A 26,498-nucleotide genomic window follows, 5' to 3' on the forward strand; every position below is an offset into this window, starting at 1 on the left:
TAAGGGCGTAAGAGTCATTCTGATGCTTCTGTGTGCCTGTGGCATGGAAATATCAGGTGGACTGTGGCTCCATCTGCCCGGACACACTGTGCAGCCATAACCTATTTGGCTCTTGTCCCTTTCCTGAGGTTACAATCCAGGAAGTAAGGCACAGTTCTCCTAAATAGTTCCCCCAACTTACCTCCCGTTTTGCTGCTTTGTAGGGGCTCTGACTCAGAAGCAGGACCTGGGGCTCCCCTCTCAGGGACCCCGCTTTGCCCTTCCTCAGCAATCCTTTTTTTCTTCCCTCTCCTTTCAGTCCAAGGTAAGTTCTATTCTTGAGGGTGGGACGGAAAATCCTGCTTTTACTACTGGAACCTAAGCTCCAAGACCTGTCTGCTCACTGCTGGATCACCACTTTCTAGCTCTGTGCCTAGCACAGAGAAGGCAGGCAATAAACAAGCGCCAAATGAATAACGTTTCTTTAGGACATTTTGTGTGGGCCCTGAGTCCTCTTCATTCTAAGACTAGACTGAAGGAACACATTGCTTTTGTTTCATCCTCCCCTGAGACAATGAGCACAGATTAATTTATTTGCCTGAAGAAGGTAAAGGAAATGAATTACCAGAAGGATGGTAAGTGGCTCAAAAACACTATAGTCCCCAAATTTGTAGTGTTTACAAACACAAGCAAATCAGACAGGCACCCATCATTCATCTTGGTGAATTTTTATGGAGTGATTTCCTGGGAGTTTGGAATTAAACTCTGGGAGAAATAACATCTTTTCTAACCTGTTTGTCCTTAACAAATGTGGCACACTCAAGAATTTGAGTTTTGCTTTGAAGAGGAAAAAATATTAAAAAGGAAAATAATGGATTATTTTTATGTAATGCATTTGGGCACATACATTTCACCCTGTAAATCAATCTTGTACACAAGGATGTCAAACTCAAGCCATTTAATGTTTTTCCTGTCCTGCACATAAATGTTGTGATCTGTTTTTATTCTAAAAAGTATAAAAGATAGAATGATGGCAATGTAAGTTTATATTAAGTGTTTTTTTCCTTCCAGGAAGTTGTAAATATGAATCTGTTTTCTTCAGCTAGACAGAACACTCCAATTGATCTTTTATAATCCCAAAGAGCTTGGGTATTATTTTATTTATGAAGCATAATTTCTTTAGCAGCTTAGGATTTTGTGACTCCCTCTTCTTAATCAAGCATGCATTTTCATAGGATTATAAAGGCATAATTAGTCAGCAAATAAAGGCTTTTTTTTAAAACTTAAAAAATTGCTATAAATGACAGGGCTTTACTGGCTTATATCCTTTTTGTTATATTATTGATTTTTCTACTCATAGGAGCAGGCCTCTACGTGATATCATTTAATCTTTTGTTTTATATATAAGTTAAGACTATAATTAGACGATAAAGAGTTTTGTGTGGGAATATGTTTGTCAGCATTTTTTAGCATGTTTTCAGAGTATGTGAGAGATGCTTACATGCCTTTCTATACACACTGAACATGCATTTCACATGAACTGATTAAGCAGAGTACATTATACATGCAATCTTAGTCCTGGCAGATGCTCACTTCATTCTTTGCTGCTGTAACTCAAGGGCAAAAAGCAGGGCAGTTTTGCCAATCAAGGACTTTGCCATTGGGTCCTATTTTCTCTGGCATCTTCCAGATACTTCCAGGTGCTTCTCCTTCTTACCTTGTTTTTTGAGGCCCAATACACACAGATGGTCAAAATGAGCTTTACTAGATAGAGGGTGAGCTCATTTTAGAACACCCAGTTTATACAATTTTGGTGTATTACAATTCATGATTTTTTTCTAGCTTAGCAGACTATAGGCATCTTCCAAAACTATTCAGAATTTTCTCCATTCCTTTTTTATCTGGAGTGCGTTAAGTCCCAATCTTTGAAGTCATAGTTGTAGGTTGAAACTGTGCTCCCATCTACTCACTTGAGCTACAATATTTACGTCTCCTTTCAAATCTCTAGAAGGGAGGTCTTTGTTGGGTTCTAAGTACATTGTCTTCACCAATTTGACAGGTGTTCCCTTAGCTCTTCCTGTCTTTGAAATATTGATTTTTCTAAACCTGCTTTCTATAACTTACGACATTGGCCCTGCTGTCTTCTATTCTGTGTCCTGATACTCTAGTCTTAGTCATTTCTCTGCATCTTAGTTTATTCTAGACAATTTATTTCCTTGCACTTGCATTTATCCTTTCTTGCTTTTTTTTTTCTTTTTTTTTTTTTTTTCCGTAGATGGAGTCTTGCTCTGTCGCCCAGGCTGGATGGAGTGCAGTGGTGTGATCTTGGTTCACTGCAACCTCTGTCTCCTGGGTTCAAGTGATTCTCCTGCCTCAGCCTCCCGAGTAGTTGGGACTACAGGTGCCCGCCACCATGCCCAGGTAATTTTTGTATTTTTAGTAGAGATGGGGTTTTGCCATGTTGGCCAGGCTGGTCTCAAACTCCTGACCTCAGGTGATCTGCCACCTTGGTCTCCTAAAGTGCTGGGATTACAGGCGTGAGCCACTGCGCCTGGCCTCTTGAATTTTCCCTCTGTTGTCTTTTCTCTTTTTGAAAATTTTTATTTTGTTTAAAAAAATTTCTACTTAGGTCATTCTCACAGGCTTTCTGCCCTGCATATCAATTTTTAGCACCCTGACAGTATTCCCTGGACCCTCACCCCTTAACATTGCCCAAATCTTCCCAGGAATGCAGCTGTGAGCTTTCTTCTCCTCAGCCCAGACTGTACAGCATTCTGGACTTTATGATGTTCCATAGCCATTATTCAGTGGTTTATAAACACATGTTTTTAGTCATTCAAAAGCCTTTTTCATTTTTAGCTAAACTTTTGAGGTAACTGTGGATTCAGTTACTGTAAGAAACAGTACAGAGCAATCCCACATATCCTTTACTGAATTTCCCCGATGGCAACAGCTTGTAAAACTAGAGGACCATATCACAACCAGGGTATTCACACCAATGCAGTCAAGATACAGAACATTTCCATTGCAACAATGAGCTCAAGGAAGGGCTTTCTCTCAACGTTGGCTCTGGCTCACGGTCCCTCGCACCATGAAGGACACAGAAGGAACCAGACCCTGACCCTGCCGCACTGCTCCAATTCAGGGTAGAATTGCGAAGTGCCACAAGTAAGGCATCTCTGAAGAGGAAGTAATTGCCTTTTTTTTTTTTTTCCTGAGGGGATCAGAGAAGGCAAATAAAGGCAAACATAAATTAAAAATAAGAGACTTAATTCTTCCTGTTAAAAATAAGGGAAAAGACACCCCTGTACTCCCCTTTCTTCGAGCATTTACTTTAGAAAACTTGTAAATTCTTTCGCTGTCTCTTTGAAATGTGAGTAAATCTTTTAAAAAGTAAAATAAATCTTTTGCCAACTTTACAACCAAGGAATGCCTTTCTCAAGACTGGGAATCAAGCCTTTTGAGCGTGACCATCCAAGGAAATAAACACCCCTGTGTCCCAGGTTCTGTGGGAGGGCAGGACCTAATTTCGGCAGGCACCTTGCTCCAAAGCTACCTCCTATTATAAAGATGTGAGAAGTTTACTTTCCCTGTATATAAAGCCTATTAACTAACATAGATGGTCACCCAAATTATGGGTAAAGTTAGGATAAACCGTGTGTGACATATGGTGCTGTGAAGTCCTCTTATGTGAAGAGTAGCTGTTGTTCATCCTGAGAACATCCACGTAATGGGCTGTGTCTGCTTGGCTATATAAAGGAAGAGCTATCTTTCTGTCTTTGCAGTCTCTTAGTGGATTGCTTGTGACGGGCATCACATTCTGTTTTAACGCTTATTCAATAGTAAAATGATTTTCTTTCTCGTTTACCTTGGTGGAGAGGATTTCTAGGTTAGGAGATTTTTTTACTATTTTTTATTTTTTTTGAGACGGAGTCTCACTCTGTCTCCCAGGCTGGAGTGCAGTGGTGCGATCTTGGCTCACTGCAACCTCCGCCTCTTGGGTTCAAGCGATTCTCCTGCCTCAGCCTCCTGAGTAGCTGGGACTACAGGGGCCCACCATCACACCCGACTAATTTTCTTTTCTTTTCTTTTCTTTTTTTTTTTGAGACGGAGTCTCGCTCTGTCGCCCAGGCTGGAGTGCAGTGGCGCAATCTCGGCTCACTGCAAGCTCTGCCTCCCAGGTTCACGCCATTCTCCCGCCTCAGCCTCCCGAGTAGCTGGGACTACAGGCGCCCGCCACCACGCCTAATTTTTGTATTTTTAGTAGAGACGGGGTTTCACCATGTTGGCCAGACTGGATATTTTGTTTTTAATTGTATTTCCATAGCAGATTTCATGGAGGAGGTAGCGTCTGACCTTGGCTATGAAGGATGCTGCATACATATGTTATAGGCAATTTATTTTAAGATATGTAACATTTCTCATTTGTAGTTTAACCCACACATGGGACCCTGTTTTAGACAGGTGGCAGGGGGTCTGCCTGGAAATTAATTTTAAAAAATCCAAGTGAAATTCACGCAACGTAAAATTAACCATTAAAAAATGTACAGTTCATTGGCATTTAGTACACTCACCATGTTGTGTAACTAACACCTCTGTGTAGCTTCAAGCTATTTTCATCACCCCCAAAGAAAACCCAACCCATGAAGCAATCATTTCCTATCCTCCCATTCCCCCAGCCCCTTCAAACCACCAATTTGCTCTCTGTGGATAGCAGCACTATTCATCATAGCCAAAAGGGGGAAGCAACCCAAGTTTCCATCAATGGGTAAATGGACAAGCAAATATGTGCTACGTACATACAATGCAATGTTATTAAGCCATAATAGGGAGTAAAGTACTGATGCATCCTAAAAGGTGGACAAACCTTGAAAACATTACACTAAATGCAAGCCGGACCCCAAAGGTCACGTCTTATATACTTCTACTTATATGAAATATCCAGAATAGGTAAAAAAAAAATTGTTTTTTGGAGGGTACATTTTAGCACATTTGGGAAGACATTTATATGGTAGACTTTGAACCCTTATGGGGGATGGTGTGGAGTGTTTTCTGGGAAACAGAATTAGTAAAGTGGAAGAGGCAGGAAATAGAAAACTTAAGGGGTGGCCGATGACAGAGGAAGCAAGAGTTTACAGAAATCCCTCCTCCTGGCTTTCAACGCCCACCCTACCTGAGCAAGCTTGTGTCTCAGTGTGAAGTTTCTCTGACAACAGGGACTGGTCCCTGTCCAGTCTTGGATATATGCCCTGCACAACTCTTGTAATAGTAACAGTCTAGTCCTCAGAATCAAACATTTAGTTTAACTTTACGTGTTTGAAATGCCTTGAATGCAGGACCCCGCTTTAGTTTTCCATTTTCACCCACTCTGGTAGCCTCCCTAGAAAGACTGCGTGGACAGCTTGAGGACACCTGTGCAGATCATGATCAAAGGGACCACGTAGTTCTAGTTTTTAAATAAAGTTCACGTATCTTTTTGTATTATTTTTGCTAATTATTTGCCTTTACCCAACGGCTTGAATGATTGAACTCTATTTTCAGGCTTAAATATTCCCTCTGCACTGCTGCAACTGGCCGGATAAATGTGCCTACTCCAGCAGCAAGCTCTCCACATCCCGTCCCCCTTTCTGTCTCCTCCTTACTTCATGCCCCCACTGCCTCCTTAGTTTTCAGCTGCCAGTGCAAAGCACCCCAGCTTTCTCTAGGCTGTGCTCTGCTCCCTGACAGCTGCTGTTCTCTCCCCATCCCTCTCTTCTTCCCTTGCTTTCAACTTCCCAGCCAGTCTGAGTATTTGAGCACCTTCCAGCTGCTTCACTGTTGTGTCATGCCGGGGGCCATGTTGCACAGCCGCGGCACACATGTATATCCACGGGGACTCCTTTCTGAGCCTACTGGGTGCATAGAAACTGGTGTTCCAGAAGTGTACAGTTGAGTTTTTGACAAAGAGAAATTTTACAAACAAAATTGTGGCTGTACAAATTTTTTTTTAAAATTATATTTTCCCATTGGCTTCACAGAAGAGATAGCACCTGACCTTGGCTATTAAATGCACAGTATTTAAAATATATGGATTAACAAAATTTTATTTGCTCACACCTTTAAGTGGGGTTAAATATACTTGGTAATTGTTTTCTTCTTAACCAGATTGTCCTTAAGGGCAAAGAGTGCGTGTCTTACATTTCTTTAAAATTTGCCCCATTTCCGTCGTCCCACCAGCCCCTTAGACTTAGTGCTTAATGTTTTTAAACAAACAAATGAATATTAAAGTAGGCAATCTTTTATTGACTTTGTATCTTGTCTTGAAAAGGAGTTGATTACTGTTAAAATTCTCTTAAAAATATGTTTTGAGTTCTGGGAATATACATTGCAAGGTTCAAGTTTGTTTTGACTTTCTAATTGTATAATTAGAGAGGAGTAGCTCACTCAGGAATTACTGTTGTGAATGATAAGCTTTTCCTCTTGGATGTGAGGTTGTGTTCAGATTAAAGACACTAATATGGTATACCAGCAATTACACAGTTTAAGGCAACTAAGTTACATCTATAGACCATATCATTTTACATGAATATAATACTTCTATTTCCATAAATAATTCCGAATGCTTGGAGAAAACACTAGTTTTTATTCCCCAAAATCATTGTCTTTGAAACCTCCTTAAATAGCCATAAGACTAGCAACTCATGCCTTGAAAAAGGTAGTCACTGATATCAACACTGTTTGAGAATTGGAAAAACATTTCCAGGACAAGCACAGTGGCTCACACCTGTAAACCCAGAACTCTGGGAGGCTGAGGTGGGAGGATTGCTTGAGGCCAGGAGTTCGAGACCAGCCTAGGCTACACGGCAAGACCTCGTCTCTCCAAAAAAAAAAAAAAAAAAAAAAAAATTAGCCAGGCATGGTGGCACATGCCTATAGTCCTAGCTCCCAGGAGTTTGAGGTTACAGTGAGCTATGGTCTCACCACTGCACTCTAGCCTGGGTGACAGAGCAGGACCCAATTTTGAAAGAAAGAAAGAAAGAATTAATTTCCAGTTCTCTTTGATAAATTCTCAGTGTTAACGACTAAGACAGAATCCATCCTTTTTTCAACTGTATGGTTCTATATGATACCTTTGATAGTTAAGCTATATTAGTTTATTACCATACATTTGGATAGTTAGCAATCAATAAGTTTTGTGCTATCTGTGAAAAATAATCTGGTAGTAAGATAAAAGTGTGCATAACTTATTTTCTGCTTCAGTACTTAACATAGTTACTATTTTCTTGAAGACTGTAGTTTTGTAATACTATGCTCTTTGGTGAGACAAAGCGTTCTGAAATTTGTGAACACTTCTTATTTCCTGGTAATTATTTTTTTTGGCCCCCCCAGTTTGACTTTTCTTTCTTTTTGGCTTCTTATATCACTGTCCCACGTTAAAAAATTTAACAGATTTTAAGATGTCTTTTGGCTTAAATTGCAAACAATTACATTTGAAAATTAATGAACTTCGCGAAATTTAGTCCAGCCTATATGAAAAAGAAAACTGTTGTCAGGGTGAGAATAGATGATTCGTGATTTCAGATTCTGCCACACCTTTACAAATATTTTTCACACTGTTGCCTTCAGAAAAATTCATTATGCTAATCCATCAAGCTTCAGTTCCTTCTTAATTGTTTTTTTCAAACGTCTCTTCTCACTGGTGGCTTGGCGCCATCTCTCACTGCTGACTTCAGAAATGAAATGTGATGATATGCTGACATACCAGTGTCACAAGCTTTGTTACCTTTGAAAATCATTATCTTTGAAACTTCTGCAAGTAGCCACAAAACGAGTGACTCATACCTTTTTTATTTTTTTCCAACTTTTATTTTAGAATCAGGGGAGTCCATGTGCAGGTTTATTACCAGGGTATATTGTGTGATGCTGAGGGTTGGGGTACAAGTAATCCCATCACCCAGGTACTGAGCATAGTACTCAACAGTTAGTTTTTCAACCCTGTTCCCCTCCCTCCTGTGCCTCATACCTCAAAAGAGATGGTCATTGAAGTCAGTACTGTTTCAGAATTAGGAAAACATTTTCAGTTGTCTTTGAGAAATCCTAAGTGTCAATCTTAGAGCTTGAGGAAACAAACAAACAACAACCAGAATTCACCACTTTTTCAACTGTGTGCTTTTTCTTTGATACCTCTGATAATTTAGCTATGTTACCTTATTACTGTACTTGCATGTTGTAAATGATCAATACATGGTTTTTAAATTGAGTAGGGTATCTACAAGACACACTTAACTGCATAATTTGTGTCTAAATATGTCATGTATGTATTTTTTTTGTGTGACTCACTTATAGAAAGGACTTCCCTGTTGTGGTTCTTCGGTTGAGATAATTAACACCTCAAAATATCATATATAGTTCTGAATTTCTAGAGTTTTATTAGTTGTAAAGTGATTTTAGAAATGCACTCTGATTCTAAATGTTTGTCATGTGGATAGAAATTTTGCTATGAATAATACATTTTCATTAAAATAAAGACGTGTTTTTCATGCTATATATATATATATATTTTTTTTTTTTTAGTGTAATTGCCCATTTGTTCTTTTTTTTGTTTGTTTGTTTTTTTGATATGGAGTCTCACTCTGCCACCCAGTCTGGAGGGGAGTGGTGTGATCTCAGCTCACTGTAACCTCTGCCTCTCAGGTTCAAGTGATTCTCCTGCCTCAGCGTCCCAAGTAGCTGAGATTACAGGCATGCCCCACCATGCTGGGCTAATTTTTGTATTTTCAGTAGAGATAGGGTTTTGCCATGTTGGCCAGGCTGGTCTCAAACTCCTGACTTCAAGTAATCCACCCACCTCGGCCTCCCAAAGTGCTGGGATTACAGGCGTGAACCACCACACCTGGCCTGATTTTTTTTTATTGTATATTTCTAGTTAGGTGTTCCTTTGTTATATCAAACTCAGTATACCTATAGCTTGCCATATCATCTTTTCTTCTAATTCTGCTCTTCCTGCCAACTTTCCAACTTTTATTCCACCTTGAAATTTTAGAAATTTTGCTTAAACTGTCTTAGCTCTTTAAGGTCTAATAAGCCAAATCTTGTCTCCCAGATTTTTCACTTCTCCTGGGATTATTTCAGTCCAGAAAAATTTCAATTTATTGTTAAATTGCTAAAGTAACCTTCTGACTTCATCTCTAGTTTCCATCCCTACCACTCCAATTCATCTGGCATACAGATGCATATTAATTTTCTTAGGCAACCCTTGCATATTTTCTTTTGCAACCCCTGATAGATTACTACAAAGCCTAAGATTTCAAGAGTTCCCTGTGATCCTTAAGATGAGTCTGTACTCCTCAAAGAAGCTCTTAAGAGTCTCCAGGAGATCTCCAGGAGATCTCACTACATTGCCCAGGTTGGTCTCAAACTCCTGACCTCAAGTGAGCCTCCTGCCTCGGCCTCCCAAAGTGTTGGCATTACAGGCATGAGCCACTGTGCCCAGCCCCAGCTGCTTCCTGTTCATGTTAATACTTGGTATAGTCTTTTTAATTTCCACTTGCTGGTGGGTGTAAAATGCTATAATATTGGAGCTTTAATTCACAGCTTCATGAGTTTTTTACTGGCCTCTTTGGCCCATATTGAATTATTATCTGTGAGTTCCCAGGCACTTATCATCTGTGCTACTTACTACTTTTAGTTCTATGTGACATTCTGATGCCATTGAATTATTTCAAGAGTATCTCCCACATCTCCAGATGGGCTGTACCTTCTAGAAGGGAATATTTGTCTCTTATTGTTTACTGTCTGGAGTCTGGAGTGCTTAGCCAAGCACTGGACCCAAATTGATTGCTTCAGACCAGAGCTAAAAACTGCAAGGTTAGACCTTCTGAATTAGAAGTGTACTCATTTTTGTTAAGTCCACAAAGATTAAAAAATTCCAAAATGTAGATGGGTGCATTCACATGACATTACTGAAGATGAGCAAAAACATTCCCTAAATATCCTGCTGGCTTTTATTTTTCCTAGTGTAAAAAGATGAGTATTGTTGAAATACATTCCCTTGTCTTCATGGCTTTTGCAAAGTTTCACTCTATACATTGCTTCAGTTATCCAATATACGTGACCAAGGTTAAATGGTTCTTGGTGCTTTATTTGTCTTAGTTTTTGTGGCTAGCTTGTGTGGTGCTCCTTAAACTGGTCTTTGGTGAACACCTCTTATTTGTGATAAAACAACAATGCCATCAATCAGTTCTTTAACAATTGTGTTGTGCCAAAACATTTCGTTGGTTCTGCGAAAAGAAAGTGTTAGGTCAATTACATATTGATGGAAATAAAGTAAATTGATAAAGCATTTCTCTTTAATCAAAAGTAAGACAGCTTTCGTATTGGGTACTTATTAACTTTTCTACCTACTTTCAACAGTGAGAAAGATAAGCATATAAATCTCATTGATTTTAATCTTTGCTTTTCTAAAGCTTCACAAATTTGGAGTGACTTTGATAAAATTCAGTCAGAATTGTAGTTAATACTTTATGTTAGCTACATGTTTGCATATATTTTTCCTTCTAGACTGTAAATTCTCCGAGAGAGGGACCACATCTTTGTATCTCCAACACTTAACACAGGTGTTTATTAAAGGCATAACATGATCTACAACCACATCAGTAGCACAGACGAATCGCGCACACGGCGTGTTGAGGGAAAGAAGCCAGACACGAAAAAGAACATACTGCTTGATTCAGGGTTTGAATCCTAACTCTTCCCAAGTTACTGTATAACTTGGGAAAATTATAGTGTCCTTATCTGTAAACTGGGGATAATAATAGTACTCACTTCATAAAGTGTTGAGAGGATGAAAAATGGGAATGAGATTATCACTTGGAATTTTGGAACCTCAAAAGGTTTGATCCTGGCTTACTCTGTCCCAGATGAGCTTTGTGATCATGGGTGAGCTATTTAACCTCGCTGAACTTCAGTTTCCTCATCTATGCAATGGGGATCATGCCCCATCTACAGAATTGCTGTGGGAATTATGTTTACATAGTGGGTGCTCCAAAAATGGTAGTTGTCTTTGTTATCATTGTTATAATACAGCAAGTCCTATGTAGAGAGGCATTGCAATGATATAGGCAAGAAAGTGGCATATGGTGAAATCATAGTGAAATTAGCTCAACAAACGATGAAGGGTTTGAATTCTTCTAGGAATGCCAGTGAATTCTCAGTCATAGAGAAGGAAGTGACATCAAGAACAATAGCAAACAGATTCACAATCCCTTTCTCTTTCTTTCTTTCTTTCTTTCTTTCTTTCTTTCTTTCTTTCTTTCTTTCTTTCTTTCTTTCTTTCAATGGAGTCTCACTCTGTCACTCAGGCTGGAGTGCAGTGGTGTGATCTCGGCTCACTGCAACCTCCTCCTCCAGAGTTCAAGTGATTCTCCTGCCTCAGCCTCCCGAGTAGCTGGGATTACAGGCATGCACCACCATGCCCAGCTAATTTTTGTATTTTTAATAGAGACGAGGTTTCACTATGTTGGCTAGGCTGGTCTCGAACTCCTGACCTCAGGTGATCCACCTGCCTTGGCCTCCCAAAGTGCTGGGATTACAGGCATGAGCCACCACGCTTGGCCCACAATCCATTTCATACAATTAAGTTCAAGTAAAAACTGAAAGGAAAAATAAAGAAAACTCTATAGTAAAGGCTGTAACTTTTCCCACTGCAAGCCACAAGAACAAAGGCATCATTTTACATCATGGCCCAGTACACCTGTAATCCCAGCTTCTTGGGAGGCTGAGGCATGAGAATGGCTTGAACCTCGGAGGCAGAGGTTGCAGTAAGCAGAGATTGCACCACTGCACTCCAGCCTGGGTGACAGAGTGAGACCTTGTCTCAAAAATAAATACATACATACATACATACATACACACATACATAAGTAAATGGATCGCAGCCTGCAGCTTGAAAAACACTGCCTTAAACTAACCTACAAGTTGAAACCTTCTTGTTTAATTAACTTTTTGTCTTCAATTATGCATCTTTCTTCAGTCTATCTCCTTTCCTTCTTCACCTCCTTTGACCTTTCAAAGAAAATATGGATTAAAATGCATTTCCACCTTTTGATTTTGAGGTGAACGATGTTGAAGGAAAGCCATTTAAATGTGATATAGCAATAGCTTCTAAGATATTTATTACTGTTTATTTAGGTGTAAGTTGAAAGAAAAAAAATTACAATGCTATTTTGACAAATGTCTCAGTAAAAGTATTCCACAACCAGAGTCTTGATTTTATGACTCTAACTGGGTAATACAAACATTGGATTCATATAAAAACAACACTTTTAGACTTTGGAGTACGCTGTTCCTCTGAAGAAAATGAAATAGAATAATAGAAAACTTGTATTTAGAACTTATCCTTGATTTTATTTCCTCTTTTTGATCCAGTTTCAAACTTATGACTGAAAAGAAAAATAGGATAGTCTTATACTCTGGTTTTGATTGTTGTAGGTATCATAAAAATTGTAATATCTGAGATTTTTTTTTTTAAAAAGCTCTATGTTGAAGTCTTTGAATTTTAGCTTTTTCTATGTTTTATTCGTTCTGTTTTTGAATTACACCACCCTAAATGACTATTTATCATCTAATATGTTGGATATAATACACTTGTTTCCACAGACGGTCTGGCAGAACAACAGTTCTGCCTAAATTTCAATTCAGGTGGGCAAACATTTGTGGTGCACCTTGTAGCCGGTGGTAATGCATGGACTAGGGGCTGGGTTCATAAATCGAGGCCGTGGTCATTGCTTTCCTAGAGCTGGAATGGGGCATTGAAAATTGTCCTTACTGGTGGCTCACACCTGTAATCCCAGCACTTTGGGAGGCCGAGGCGGGTGGATCACTTGAGGTCAGGAGTTCGAGACCAGCCTGGCCAACATGGCGGAACCCTGCCTCTACTAAAAATACAAAAAATTAGCTGTGTGTGGTAGTGCGCACCTTTGGTCCCAGTTACTTGGGAAGCTGAGGCACAAGAATCACTTGAACCGGGAGGTGGAGGTTGCAGTGAGCGGAGATCGCACCACTGCACTCCAGCCTGGGTGACAGAGTGAGACTCTGTCTCAAAAAATTAAAAAAAAATTATCCTTACTGAATGAACCCTGTGGAGGTTGTTCAGCCCTGGTTGTATGTCCTTGTTGCGGTTAGCTAAAAATGTAAATAGGAGTCATTGAGACCTATACGTGCCCCAGTCCTAACTACTCTCCTTCTTTACCATACCCACAGCTTCTTGCAGACCAGCTCAGCCCTGTGAGCAGGCAGTGGTTGGTCCCAGCTTCATTCACCAGGCACGCCTTGACCTTCAGCAGCTGCATTTAGCCTGGCTCTGGTCCTTGGTCTTGCAATGCCCTTGAAGGAGCTGGGTCTCCAGGCACTAACCTCTACCTGAGGCTGGCGCTTGGCCTTTGATTCCATCAGCTTGGCTTTGAGGGCTGTTTTCTGAGAGTGGAGCGAAGATTGCCTAAGAGAAGAGATGAAATAAAGAGTCATTTGGGTAGATTAGCATCAGAAAGTTTTCCTATTCTCTCTGCAGGAAGGGAATATACACTGGATGGATGTTACTGTCTCATCTTCTAACCTCTTCTCTTTCAAGTAAAACAGAGATAATCTTCTATGCAGATGCTGTGTTTTAAGAGGGCGAGGTTTTGATTTAACTGGAAGGAAAGTATCTCAGGATGCCTGTCTTCTGTACCTAGTGCATCCCTATGGTGTAGGAAAATCCTGCTTTCTTAAGGTAGAGCAGTGATTTTCAGGTGATTTTGTGCCTCCCTTCCACTCTCATTTGGCAATATTTGGAGACATTTTTGGCTGACATAATAAGGGGTAGGGGGTGTACTATTGGTACCTACTAGGTAGAGGCCATAAACTTCCATAAACCCACAGGACAGCTCCCCAAGAATTATCCAACCAAAAATGTCTAGAGTGCCAAGGTTGAGACACTCTGCCTTAAAACCTGACATTTGGATGTTAGGCATTTCAAAAGTTTCAGGAAACTGCTTGAATTAGGGTGAATCTGATCTAATTTTAATTCCCTGTAACATTAATTCTGCCACTTTGATTTTTTTTTTAATTCAAACAGTTTCTATTTGCAGAGTCATAGATTTTAGAGCTAGACGATAAGTACCTTAGTAATCACCAACTCCCTTGCTTTGCAGAAAAAAATGAGGCTTAGAGATAGATACTTTTAGAGGAATGACTTATCTAAGGTTACATGGTGAGCTTTGAGACAACCTAAGACTGAGACTCAGGCCTACCAAGTCAATGAAAAATACAGCAACTTCCTTATGTATTATTAGTTTGATCAAAGTTTCCCTATGGCTAAAGTGTAATTCCCAGAAGATAAAGATGCTGCTGCCATCCTTGTTCCTATTTTGCTTCTCCTGAAACATTGGACACTTAATAAATTCTTATCATGAATGCTCCTAAGTGAAAAATTGATTTTAAAAGTGACACATAGCTATTCAAGTTTGTTTATTTATTTATTTATTCTTTGAGACAGAGTCTTGTCCTGTTGCCCAGGCTGCGATGCATTGGCGCGATCTCAGTTCACTGCAACCTCCACCTCCTGGGTTCAAGTGATTTTCCTGCCTCAGCCTCCCAAGTAGCTGGGATTACAGGCATCACCACCAAGCCTGGGTAATTTTTGTATTTTTAGTAGAGACAGGGTTTTGCCATGGTGGCCAGGCTGTTCTTGAACTCCTGACCTCAGGTGATCTGCCTCCCTCGGCCTCCCAATGTGCTGGGATTATAGAAGAGAGCCACAGCGCCCAGCCTGTTATTCAAGTTTAAATATGTTAAATCGTCTTAAAAAGGAGCATATATACTTCTTGATATTCAATGAAATCCTAGCTGACCTATACGCAGGAATTTTATCTAGATTAATTCTTTTAAGCTTTCAGCCAGGAGCCCTGCCTAATCACCTACCTGGAGAGAGAAACAGTGATCTCATTCTGAACGTGGGCCAACATTTCCCTAACAGCAAGTTCATGCTGACATTTGTGGTATCTCAGCTAATTCAGTGGCTGTCGTGTTTGCAAAATAGGGCCTGACATGTGCAGTTAATAATTTTGTTTCCAGGTGTTTTTCACACATTAAATGGAAATTTTCCTGTCCAAGTTACTAATTGGAAAAGCCCAAGATTTTGGCTTTTTCTTAAGAACCCTAAAAAAAACCCTTTTTAAAGGGAATATCATGTTTTGGAAACATATTGCTGAGAATTTATGTGAAATCGTGCAGTTGTCTGTGTGGGCAATTGGTTTATGGTGTTTTCACCCAGGGAAAGATTTTTTTTGTTTGTTTTTGTTTTGAGACGGAGTTTCGCTCTTGTTGGCCAGGCTGGAGGGCAGTGGCGTGATCTTGGCTCACTGCAGCCTCTGCCTCCTGGGTTCAAGCAATTCTCCTGCCTCAGCCTCCTGAGTAGCTGGGATTACAGGCATGCACCACCACGCCTGGCTAATTTTGTATTTTTTTAGTAGAGATGGAGTTTCTCCATGTTGGTCAGGCTGGTCTCGAGCTCCCAACCTCGAGTGATCTGCCTGCCTCGGCCTCCCAAAGTGCTGGGAATACAGGTGTGAGCCACCGCGCTGGGCCCCACTCAGGGAGAGATTTTTATGTACCAAGTCTACTGTAGACTGTAGTTCAATCTCCAGGGCCTACAAGGCTGGCTCCTGTACATTCGTCTCAGTCTTAGCAGAATTGGATGCAGCAGCGGCAACCTGCCGTTGCAGCATTCTTTTCTGAAATACCAAAATAAAAACAGAGTCATTTATCAGTGAAGCGAAATTGTCCTAGATTTATTGACCTTGGCTGTGTTTTTTGTTTACTTTATTGTTGAATCTAATTTCAGCATCTTGGTGATTGTGATTGGCCATGGCTTCATAGTGCATTCTCATGTCATGAGGAGCTGTGTTAGATCAGCTCCAGGTGGGCTGACCCATTCCACCTGCAACTCAGAGCCTGCAACAGCTGGCTGGCCTTTAATTTCCTGAATTGGAAACAACCCTCGCTCAAGGAATTCGGCCATTATGGTAAGAAAATAACTTCATTTATTAGAATTTTCCTTCACCTCATCAGACTCAAATTGAAGGCAGGAATTATGTAAGAAAGAGGAAAGTTACGACGTGCTGTATGGGCACATACCTCTTCCTGGTTCTTTTTGAGATGAGTGAACTCCTCCGCCGGGTTTCAATCTGCATTTCTAGATCATCTTGGACAAAGTCATGTCATTCCGGACTTGGTGCAGACTGTTGATGTCAGCTTGACGCTCCAGCGCAGGGTCAGTTCAATCTCAAACCTGGAAAAAGTTTCTAATGCTTTCAGTGGTCGTTAGGTTTGTATTATTAATATCATGCTGCATTTTAAATATTTTATTAGAATATTATAGAAATGCCAAACGTCTGTTCCTTATTTGTTGTTAATATAATTTGCTATTAACTTTCCCCATTTTTGGCAGTATGATGGCACTCCATATAAAATGCTGCAAGCTTCGGGGAAGAACCTTTTCAGCATTTTTGTTTCTTAGAACAGAGTGACCATACCTTGTTGGCCTCTTGTGTGTTGGGGTCTTCTACACACACATAAAGTAGGGAGTTAAATTAAAGAATCCTCAGAAACACATGCTGGTTCTTTTCAGAAATCTCACTTGAAATATACCTAACTAGAAATTCTTACTTACGGAAGAAAATTAAGTGGTGGTTCCTTCGGACGTAGAATCAGCACAGCATTCTCGTAAATAATGTGCTTCCCTGAGGTTTTTAACTAAAATATTTTTCCATTGTTTAGGATTCTGTTTCTAAGAAGAAAAATATTCTTTTATAACTGTGATTCCAGTGTAAAAAGAAGCATGGCTTCACATAGTGTTTTTTTTTTTTTTTTTTTTTTTTTTTTTTGAGACGGAGTTTCGCTCTTGTTGCCCAGGCTGGAGTGCGATGGTATGGCCTCAGCTCACTGCAACCTCTGCCTCCCGGATTCAAGCGATTCTCCTGTCTCAGCCTCCTGAGTAGCTGGGATTGCAGGTGTATGCCACCATGCCTGGCTAATTTTTGTATTTTTAGTAGAGATGGGGTTTCATCATATTGGTCAGTCTGGTCTCAAACTCCTGACCTCAGGTGATCCGCCTGCCTCGGCCTCCCAAAGTGTTGGGATTATAGGTGTGAACCACCACGCCCGGCCTTACCTAGTGCTTATCTCCATAGCTTATGTTTTTCATCATGCTGCTAAGGGTAACTATATCACACTTTTGTCTGAAGTCCACAGCTGCTAGTTTTACGCTGACGATCTGTAGCATGAAGTTGCATTGTCAGTGTTTGCATCTGAAATCTGGAAACGCAGGACACAAAAAGTTGTGTCTGATACACTTGCATTCTGAACCTCTGTATGCTGGTGTTGAGGCATGTCAATTTCAGGTCTTTCAAACAAATTTTATATGTATACGGTTCTTTAATGGAAAATAGCATATACCTCTGCTTTTGAGAATAAAAGAACTGTAAGGAATTTAGTTTACTTTTTCTTAAGTATTTTGGAAACATTTCTAGAATTCTTTCCGTAAAATGAACTATACAAAAGTAAACAAATTAGGAAAAAAAACATAGCTAAGAAGTATATTCTGTTGCTTGTTAAATTTCTTCCTTAATCTGCCAAATTGAGAAAAGTACAGGTATATGTGGAAGATATTGCCAATCTTTTCAAATTTTGTCATTTTTAGTGTGGTTCTTTGTCTAGCAAAACGTCTTACCTTGTTTTTAAGTTCTGTAATTATCTGGTAATACTTCTTGTTGTCCTGTTTTTCTCCTTGATCATTAGCCCAGGCTCAAATTTCTTATTCCATTCTTTGATTTTATATTCAAGTGTACTCTTTGCCTGCACCAGAGTTGAGACCTTGTCCAGGGAAACTGCAACATGGTCATCTAGATTTTACACTGCATCCTTCTTCTTACCAGAGAAGAACCCACCCACCTCCTCCCAAGTTGGTAGAAAATCTCCATCTGGGTTACATTTCTGCCTATAATTCTTTCTTTCCAATGATCAGTATCTAATTGCCATAGAGTAGATTTTGGGGCTGCGTGTGACTTGATGGAAGAGCTTAGCTCTACAAAGCCCAACAGAGAGAGTGGTAAGGGAATCATCAATTAGTAATTCCTCTTATGGTTGATAATGTGGCTGTTTCATCTCTGCTATAATTGTTTTAAATATTTTTAATGAAATATATAATAGTGTTATTATTTTGTTAATTATTATTATTATTTTTATTTTTTATACTGTAAGTTTTAGGGTACATGTGCACAATGTGCAGGTTTGTTACATATGTATACATGTGCCATGTTGGTGTGCTGCACCCATTAACTTGTCATTTAGCATTAGGTATATCTCCTAATGCTCTCCCTCCCACCTTCCCCCACTCCACAACAGGCCCCGGTGTGTGATGTTCCCCTTCCAGTGTCCATGTGTTCTCATTGTTCAGTTCCCACCTATAAGTGAGAACATGCAGTGTTTGGTTTTCTGTCCTTGCAATAGTTTGCTGAGAATGATGGTTCCCAGCTTCATCCATGTGCCTACAAAGGACATGAACTCATCATTTTTTATGGCTGCGTAGTATTCCATGGTGTATATGTGCCACATTTTCTTAATCCAGTCTATCATTGTTGGACATTTGGGTTGGTTCCAAGTCTTTGCTATTGTGAATAGTGCCGCAATAATTATTTGTTAAACTCAATAGACTATCTTTTTATTAAAAGGCGCAGAAAATGCCTTTAGGTATTTATTTCATATTGGAGGGACAAAGCAGATAATATTTACATGATATCAGCCCAATTAAATTTGTGTTTTCCCTTATGGAATTTCTGCACAAAGGAAAATACCTTTTTATAGGCACAATGCTTATAACACAAAGTCCTTTGGAATGATATGATAAATATTACTTATTTTCAGATGAAGTTATTTGAAACTAATTTTAGGGATTTCTGGAGAAGTAACAGAAAGGGGCAGATCCTTAATTTCTGTATCCTGTATATTAAATATTTGAAGTATTTAAGAATAAAATTTAGGAAAATAATATGAAAATAAATGACATTCTTCTATTTTTTTCTTGAATTTGATTGATTCTAAGAAAATAAAAATTTAAATTTATTAAAGCCTGTCTTGGAATTTTGAAATAGCTAATGATGTCTAACTTTTTCCCCTTATCTTATGAAAGTATATGACCTCTCCCCTGCCCAAGAGAGTTAAAGAAGAATGGAGGAACTGACATAATAGAGTTTTGTGGGTGGATTTAATGTTAAATAGCAAACTTGTAAGTTTCTCCAGGTTCTTGTAAACCTCTGCAGTGGCTGTGTCTTGCTCCTTTTGCGGTTCCTTTTGCAATCATAGGAAAAAAAAAAAACATGATTTCTTTTTTTTTTTTTTTTGAGACAGAATCTCGTGCTGTTGCCCAGGCTGGAGTACAATGGTGTGATCTCAGCTCACTGCAACCTCTGCCTCCGGAGTTCTCCTGCCTCAGACTCCCTAGTAGCTGGGACTGCAGGCACCCGCCACCATGCCCAGGTAATTTTTGTGTTTTTAGTAGAGATGGAGTTTCAGCATGTTGGCCAGACTGGTCTCGAACTCCTGACCTCAGGTGATCCGCCCACCTTGGCCTCCCAAAGTGCTGGGTTATAGGAGTGAGCCACTGCACCCAGTCCCCCATGATTTCTATATTACCAAATGCATTTTTCTTCATGTTTGTTGTCAGTGCAGTGAGATAAACCCAGAGGTTGATGAAGGATGTTTCTATCTATCGTTCGTCAATCAATCAATCTTTAATGAAAGGTGTTAGACAATATTTTTTGGTAAAAACAAACGTGGTGTGAGTTGATGTTCTTTCTCTGAATGGCTTTTGCTTCATTTTACTTTATTGGAGAGTCTGAGTTTATCCCTATGGCTTCGAACATCCTAGTCACTAAATAAATATATTTTTTAACACTTTTGTTAAAATTGAAACAACTTAACACTCATTCTTAGAAAAAATATTCCAATGACAAATTTAGGAAACTTATATATCAAGCTGATATTGTTATTGGCAAGTGTGGGGCTATTGGTGGATGCTACTTGTATTTTAGTTCTGTTGCTTTTGCTTTTTTTTAATGACACAAAATATATTTAATACGTTAAATGAGAGACTAGGAAATATATTTAAAGATCTTTCAGGCTGACATAATGACCGCAAATAAGTAAGACAAAAAAGCTTTGGTAAAATAAGTAGAATTAAAAAAATGCAGTTCTGTGAATTAACACAAGAAAACATCAGATGAAGAATAAAGTTTCTCTGCCAAAGTTCCAGCTCAACAGTGCTGTGAATGTGATGTGGCTGCTGCTGTTAGACAATATTAAAAAATTTACAAAGCCCAGAGGTCGTCTTCCCCCAGCTCTTGGCCCTTCTGTTTAGTTTTGCATGTCATATTCTAGAGAGAATATTTAATAGCAAATATGTTAACTACATCCGAAACACCTGGCCCATATAATGAAGAGTATGGAAACAATGCCAAATGAGGCATGGCTAAAGAAATTAGGATTTTTGTCTAGAAAAGAGGAGACACAATGGCCATTTGAAAATAGCTCTAAAGGGCTAAACCAGAATCAAAGAGCTGGAAGTTACACAGGGAGACAGATTTGGAAACGAAGACATTTCTAACATTACACCTGTTCTTAAATGAAATGGACTGCCTTACAAAGTCATGATCTTTCCAAGCTCCAGGGACCTTCAGCCACAGACTGAAGACCTAGAATAATCTTTCAGGGACAATTTCTGTTCTGGGTGGGAGGTTGGAATAAAAGTCACCACCCAACTCTTTAACATTCTGGGAATTTTATGTTGCTATGATTGTAATAGAAATCACAAAGCAATGATATTGAATCTTCATAGAAAATTTGGATGTGGAACAGCCAGTGGGGCAAGCAAAGTTACCTCATCTTGAATCGGTGTAACAAAGCCCTCATTTGCATAAAACCCATCATGGAGATTTAAAAGTCTAGTGTCTTGGTCTTAGTCAAACTAATAAAAAATCACATGAAGCAATTTATTTAAAATTAATAAAGATCATACGAAGCAATTTATTTACAGACACCTGCAAGCTAAAAGCAGAGTGTGTCTAAAGATGAAAGTGTTAGAATTAATTAACAAAAGTTGTGATAGTTATGGAAAAGCTCTTTCCACAGGTCAGTAAATTCTGGGCATTAATCATTTCAGTTATGAATTGCACAAGTAGAGGGTTTTCAAGGATGAGAGAGGATGCTTGGAAATGTGATTACATTTCTCAAAATATATGTTAATTTTTTAATAAAATTCTTTGCAGAGGATCACCTCACCACCTTATTGTTATAAAAATTTTAGAATGGCTCTTGCTTAGAATTACATATCATATGTACTTTCTGCACATATAAAGTTGGTTTTTGGCCAGGCGTGGTGGCTCATGCCTGTAATGTCGGCACTTTGGGAGGCTGAGGCAGGAGGATCACTTCAGGCCAGGAGTTGGAGACCAGCCTGGGCAACATATTGAGACCCTGTCTCTATTTTTATTTTTAAAAAATTGGTTTTCAATGAAATAGTTTCCTCCAGTTGCTACTACTGTGAGATTATGAAGCTCATTTCAAGATGCTCCTGTCCTGCTTAGAAAGCTGGTCTTCCCCTGGTTTTGCCCTTAACTTGAAATCCAGCTTCAGTTTTAGTGGCCAAAGGGCCATGTGGTAGCCTGCTTTATATCTGAACTCAGACCAATGGGTATCTTTTTTAGTTCTTCTGGTCTCCAATGTCAACAGGTTTCTCCTGTCTACATAGATAGAAAACTGTTCTGGAAATTTTGAAGCCTCCCTGTTTAGGCGAGGGAGAAGCAGTTTTGGAAAAATGAAAAAAAAAAAGTACTTTTGGGGGGTACCTCTCACAGAAATAGGCCACTTGGTGAGTCTAGGATATGAAACTACAGAACTTCACTTATTTTGGTAGAGTAGAATTCTAGCTCATGGAATTAGGAGATGGAGCTTTAACTTGTAATTTTTCCACTTTATTTAAAGGGAGAGGCCTTTAAATAAATGACCTCTCCCAGCTTTATTTTCTTCATCTATAAAATGGGAACAGTAATACCTACATCAGAGAGTTTGTGGATTAAGTGAAATAAAATGTAAACATAGATACAAAGTGTTTATATACATAACACGTGCTTATGAAATATAAATTCCTTTTGCCCTCCTGTTTTTTCTCCTTTGGATTGCTCAAAAAGTTATTCTGCTCGACATCACTTATTATAGAAACATCTACATAGGTTAATTATAGACATTAATTTATTGTAATGCTTTTACATCACAGGTGGAACCACATAGAGCTACACTTTCTCTAATTTTTTTTTTTCTTTTTGAGACCAGGTCTCACTCTGTCACCCAGGCTGGAGTGCAGTGGTGCCATCACAGCTCATAGCAGCCTCAACCTCCTGGGCTCAAGCGATTCTCCTGCCTTAGCCTCCTGAGTAGCTGGGACTACAGGCACATGCCACCAGTACCAGCTAATTTTTGTATTTTTTTGTAGAGATAGGATCCTACTATGTTGCTCAGGCTGGTCTCAAACTCCTGGGCTCAAGTGATCCTCCCGCCTCAGCCTCCCAAAGTGCTGAGATTACAGGTGTGAGCCACTCCCGTAATCCCAGCAAAACCCCATCTCTACAAAAAATACAAAAATTAGCTGGGCATGGTGGAGCACACCTGTAGTCCCAGCTACTCAGGGGGCTGAGGTGGGAGGATCGCTTGAGCTCAGGAGGTCTAGGCAGCAGTGAGCTGTGATTGCACCACTGCACTCCAGCCTGGGTGACTGAGGCATGCAATGCACATCCTATCGCAATTTTGTTATAAGCTCGCATGTGCTTATAACAAAGCACATGTTATAAGCTTCATGTTCCTTGTGGTTCTGTCAGCAAAATAACTTCATCATGCCCCCTCTCTGGAAGTCCAAGCTTTGTACACAGGATACCTCTGGGCTTGTCCCTTACCTGCTATTTAAGTGCTAACTTTTAAAAAAGTGGTTGAACTATTAACATTTGCTTCTTTCCTGCATTATCATTTCATATTGACATTGATATTACAAATGAGTACTTTGTTTTCAGAAGGGCTTGATCAATATTTTCTGTTACCCAAGTGTCATATCTCAGCCACTGAAAAGTTTTTAAAGTGGTTTATTACTTGTAGTATTTTGTTCCTTGAGGAGGTTGTGTGGATAATATTACTTGAGCTTCATTTTGGGTGATTTATATTCACCAGTTTGTCTCCTCCTGGGTGAACACTGTCTAATTCCACGAAGTCGTCAAGCCAGTTTAGGCCACTTTCCTTAGAGCTTCAAATACTTTAGCCGTTTACTCTGAGCTGCCTGCTGTGAACCTTGTTTCTTGTTTGTCATCTCTGTGAGGATGGATGCCACGTCGACCATTCTCATCATTCTTGTGTATACTTCCCTGAGGTGAGAAAGAAAAAACAACCCTGTGAATCTCTGGATTAAAAGTCAACGGGTGAAAACCCATGTGCGAGGCTGGGTGCGGTGGCTCACGCCTGTAATCCCAGCACTTTGGGAGGCCGAGGTGGGCGGATCCCAAGGTCAGGAGTTCGAGACCAGCCTGGCCAACATGGTGAAACCCCGTCTCTACTAAAAATACAAAAATTAGCTGGGCTTGGTGGCGCGTGCCTGTAATCCCAGCTACTCAGGAGGCTGAGGCAGGAGAATCGCTTGAACCTGGGAGGTGGAGGCGAGATCGCGCCGCTGCACTCCAGCCTGGGCGACAAGCGAGAGACTCTGTCTCAAAAAAAACAAACAAACAAAAAAGAAAGCCCATGTGCATGTGGGCATGAGCTCTCCCTTCTTACAGTAAATCCACTCTTAGAAAAAAGAAATGTGTTCCTCTCATTCAAAAGTTGAGGCTGAATGCAGTCGTTCATGCCTATAACCCCAGCCCTTTGGAAGGCCGAGGTGGGAGGATTGCTTGAGCCCAGGAGTTTGAGACCAGCCTGGGCAACATAGTGAAACTCCATCTCTACAAAAAATAAACAAAATTAGCTGGGCATGGTTGCCTGCAGCTACTCAGGAGGCTGAGGTGGGAGGATTGCTTGAGCCCAGGAAGTTGAGGCTGCAGGTGAATCGAGATGGCACCACTACACTCCAGCCTGGGCAACAGAGCGAGACCCTGTAACAAAACAAAGCAAAAAAATTGCCTGGAGAGCTGAACTTTAGGGTCTCACAATAAACATATTCCTATTGTAGAGTTTTAAAATAATTTTAAGGCAAGTAATAATGTATGAACACCATGTCCTTAACTTTTTATTCAGCACTGTAAATACGTTTTATGATCCAAAATGGTTGAATAGTTTCAGTTTTCAAAATTGAACATGCCCTTAACAACACATTCTATTGTGTCTCAGTGTTCTGGTGTCTATGATTGGGCCTTTTCTATATTTGTAAACAATCATTCAGTACAAACGCAGCATCTTAACGCATGACAAGGAAGAACAGATGAGGGTTTTCACCTCGAGATGACTTTCAGAGTAGCCTTATACTTTTGCCTTGACATGAAAATAGTACTAGCCATGAACATAGGTCTCAGGTGGCCAAAATCCACAGCTAGAAGGTTAGACTTGAGAAGACCCACAGAGAGAGGCTTCGCTGATGTGGCCGGGATGGCTTAGGTTCTGCAGGCTGCTTACGGCAGATTTCCATTTCTGCTCTTGAGCTATGAATCCAGTTGGATGAGCTGGTTCAGACTTTTAGTATTTCAGCAGAGAAGAAGCATTCAGGGTTTTATTTATTGTAATGATTTGATGGTGGAAAACAGCTTTGACTTAAGCAACTTAACATTGCTCTTTTTCTTTGAGTAGTGGTTTAATGTTTATTCTGTGGTTAGCTATTAACCTTATTCTGTGGTTAGCTATTTAAGCAGAAGTCATAATGTACCCAGAGGTTCATTTTAAGTTTTATTCAATGTGCCCAGAAGATGAAAAACTACATGTTTTGATGATAGGTTTGATATGCTCACACAATTCTTAATTGGTTTTATATTGGAAGATACATGTTCAGATTTGTCCTTTTATAACTTTACATTTGGCTTTTTATGCCACGTCCCGTGTTCTTTCCTTGAGGACTGGCTTGTAGAGTTGATTCTCTAATTTGTGATATGGGCATATTAAATTCCTTGATTGAGAAAGCCCTTAGCCAGCCTGGGTTGGTGCTATGCCTGGTTCTTCCTGGGGCCCGTACCACCTCCTACCCAATCTTAACAGGTTTCATCATCCCAAACAAGACAAGACAAAGCCATGTGGCCTCAGGGATACTGTAGAAATGAAAGAATAGGGCTATGACCACCAACGGGATGAAAGATCTTAGCAGTGGAGACTGGGGAAAAGAAACACCAGCTTGGCGAAGTGGCAGGTTTTGGCTAAAGATGTGGCTAGATTTGGCAGGGGAACAAGTGCCTGAGGATCTCTTCTCTTTGGGGCTTTCAAGGTTTCAGGAAATCAGATTGCCATATCACATAGCCAATCTTATTTCCCAAGACTCTTTTTTGGCCCCTGTCCTAAATGTCCTGTAAACACACATGTCTGATTCCTATGTCACTTCTGATGCAGATTGTGAAATCAAGTCTTTACTATTAACAGCTTTTTATTGCTTGCTGTCTTCTTTGTGTTTTAGCTCTTCTTCTCTGCTGAAATGTGAGCTTTTTGAAGTAGGAGGGAGATTTTGAGTTTCTTTTTTATCTTATAAAATATCGAGTTCAGTGATGGACATATATAAACTAGACATTAATTATAAGTTGATTATTAAAATAATCACATCCTTCTTTGTGGGCTAAGCCGTTGACACGGTAGTCTAATTTCAGCTATCATGCCACTGAGTTCTTATGTGATGCCATTAAAAATGCCCACATTAAAAAAATGACTATAATCTGAATTGTATAAAGAAGGTAATGTGATACCCTACCTCGTTTTAACCTGATTGTCTCTCTTAGCTGAGAGAGCCGGACAGACTCCATTTTTGTTTCTTCACTTGCAGCTCCCCTCCCTTAAAGGCATAAGTAGTGCAAGCTGACTCCGAGCACATCCAGGAATGCGCTTACTGATGAGATATCGAGGCAAGCTAAATCAGCAGTTCCTGAGGACGCGCTTGGGGGATGGCACCCAAAGCCCCTGCATTATCTCTTTGTGATAGTTTGAGCCCCTGCACCTGGAACTGTTTACTTTTCTGTAACTGTTTCTGTAACCAATTAATCTTTCTTAATTGGTTTGCCTGTTCTGCTTCTGTAAAAATTGCTTCAGCTAAACTCCCTCTCCCCTATTTAGACCACGATATAAAAAGAAATCTAGCCCCTTCTTCGGGGCCGAGAGAATTTTGAGCTCTAGCCGTCTTGTTCGCCGGCAATAAAAGGACTCCTGAATTAGTCTCAGAGTGTGTCATTTCTCTATAACTCGCTCAGTTACAACAGTAAGATATAAAGAATGAACTGACATTAGTA

At 39.9% G+C, this 26,498-nt stretch overlaps 1 long non-coding RNA gene and 1 pseudogene across 1 annotated transcript; one reads left to right on the forward strand and one right to left on the reverse strand.

Moving 5' to 3' along the window:
* Positions 1–187: 187 nt before the first annotated feature.
* On the forward strand, positions 188–26,423 carry LOC105371775 (uncharacterized). Its single transcript, XR_934751.2, has 4 exons — positions 188–304; positions 15,839–16,019; positions 19,402–19,530; positions 26,039–26,423. It is a non-coding gene; the product is annotated as an uncharacterized LOC105371775 (long non-coding RNA).
* KRT224P (keratin 224, pseudogene) lies at positions 15,621–17,943 on the reverse strand (annotated as a pseudogene).

The sequence above is a fragment of the Homo sapiens genome, chromosome 17 (genome assembly GCF_000001405.40).
Source record: "Homo sapiens chromosome 17, GRCh38.p14 Primary Assembly".
NCBI classification, from domain to species: domain Eukaryota; kingdom Metazoa; phylum Chordata; class Mammalia; order Primates; family Hominidae; genus Homo; species Homo sapiens.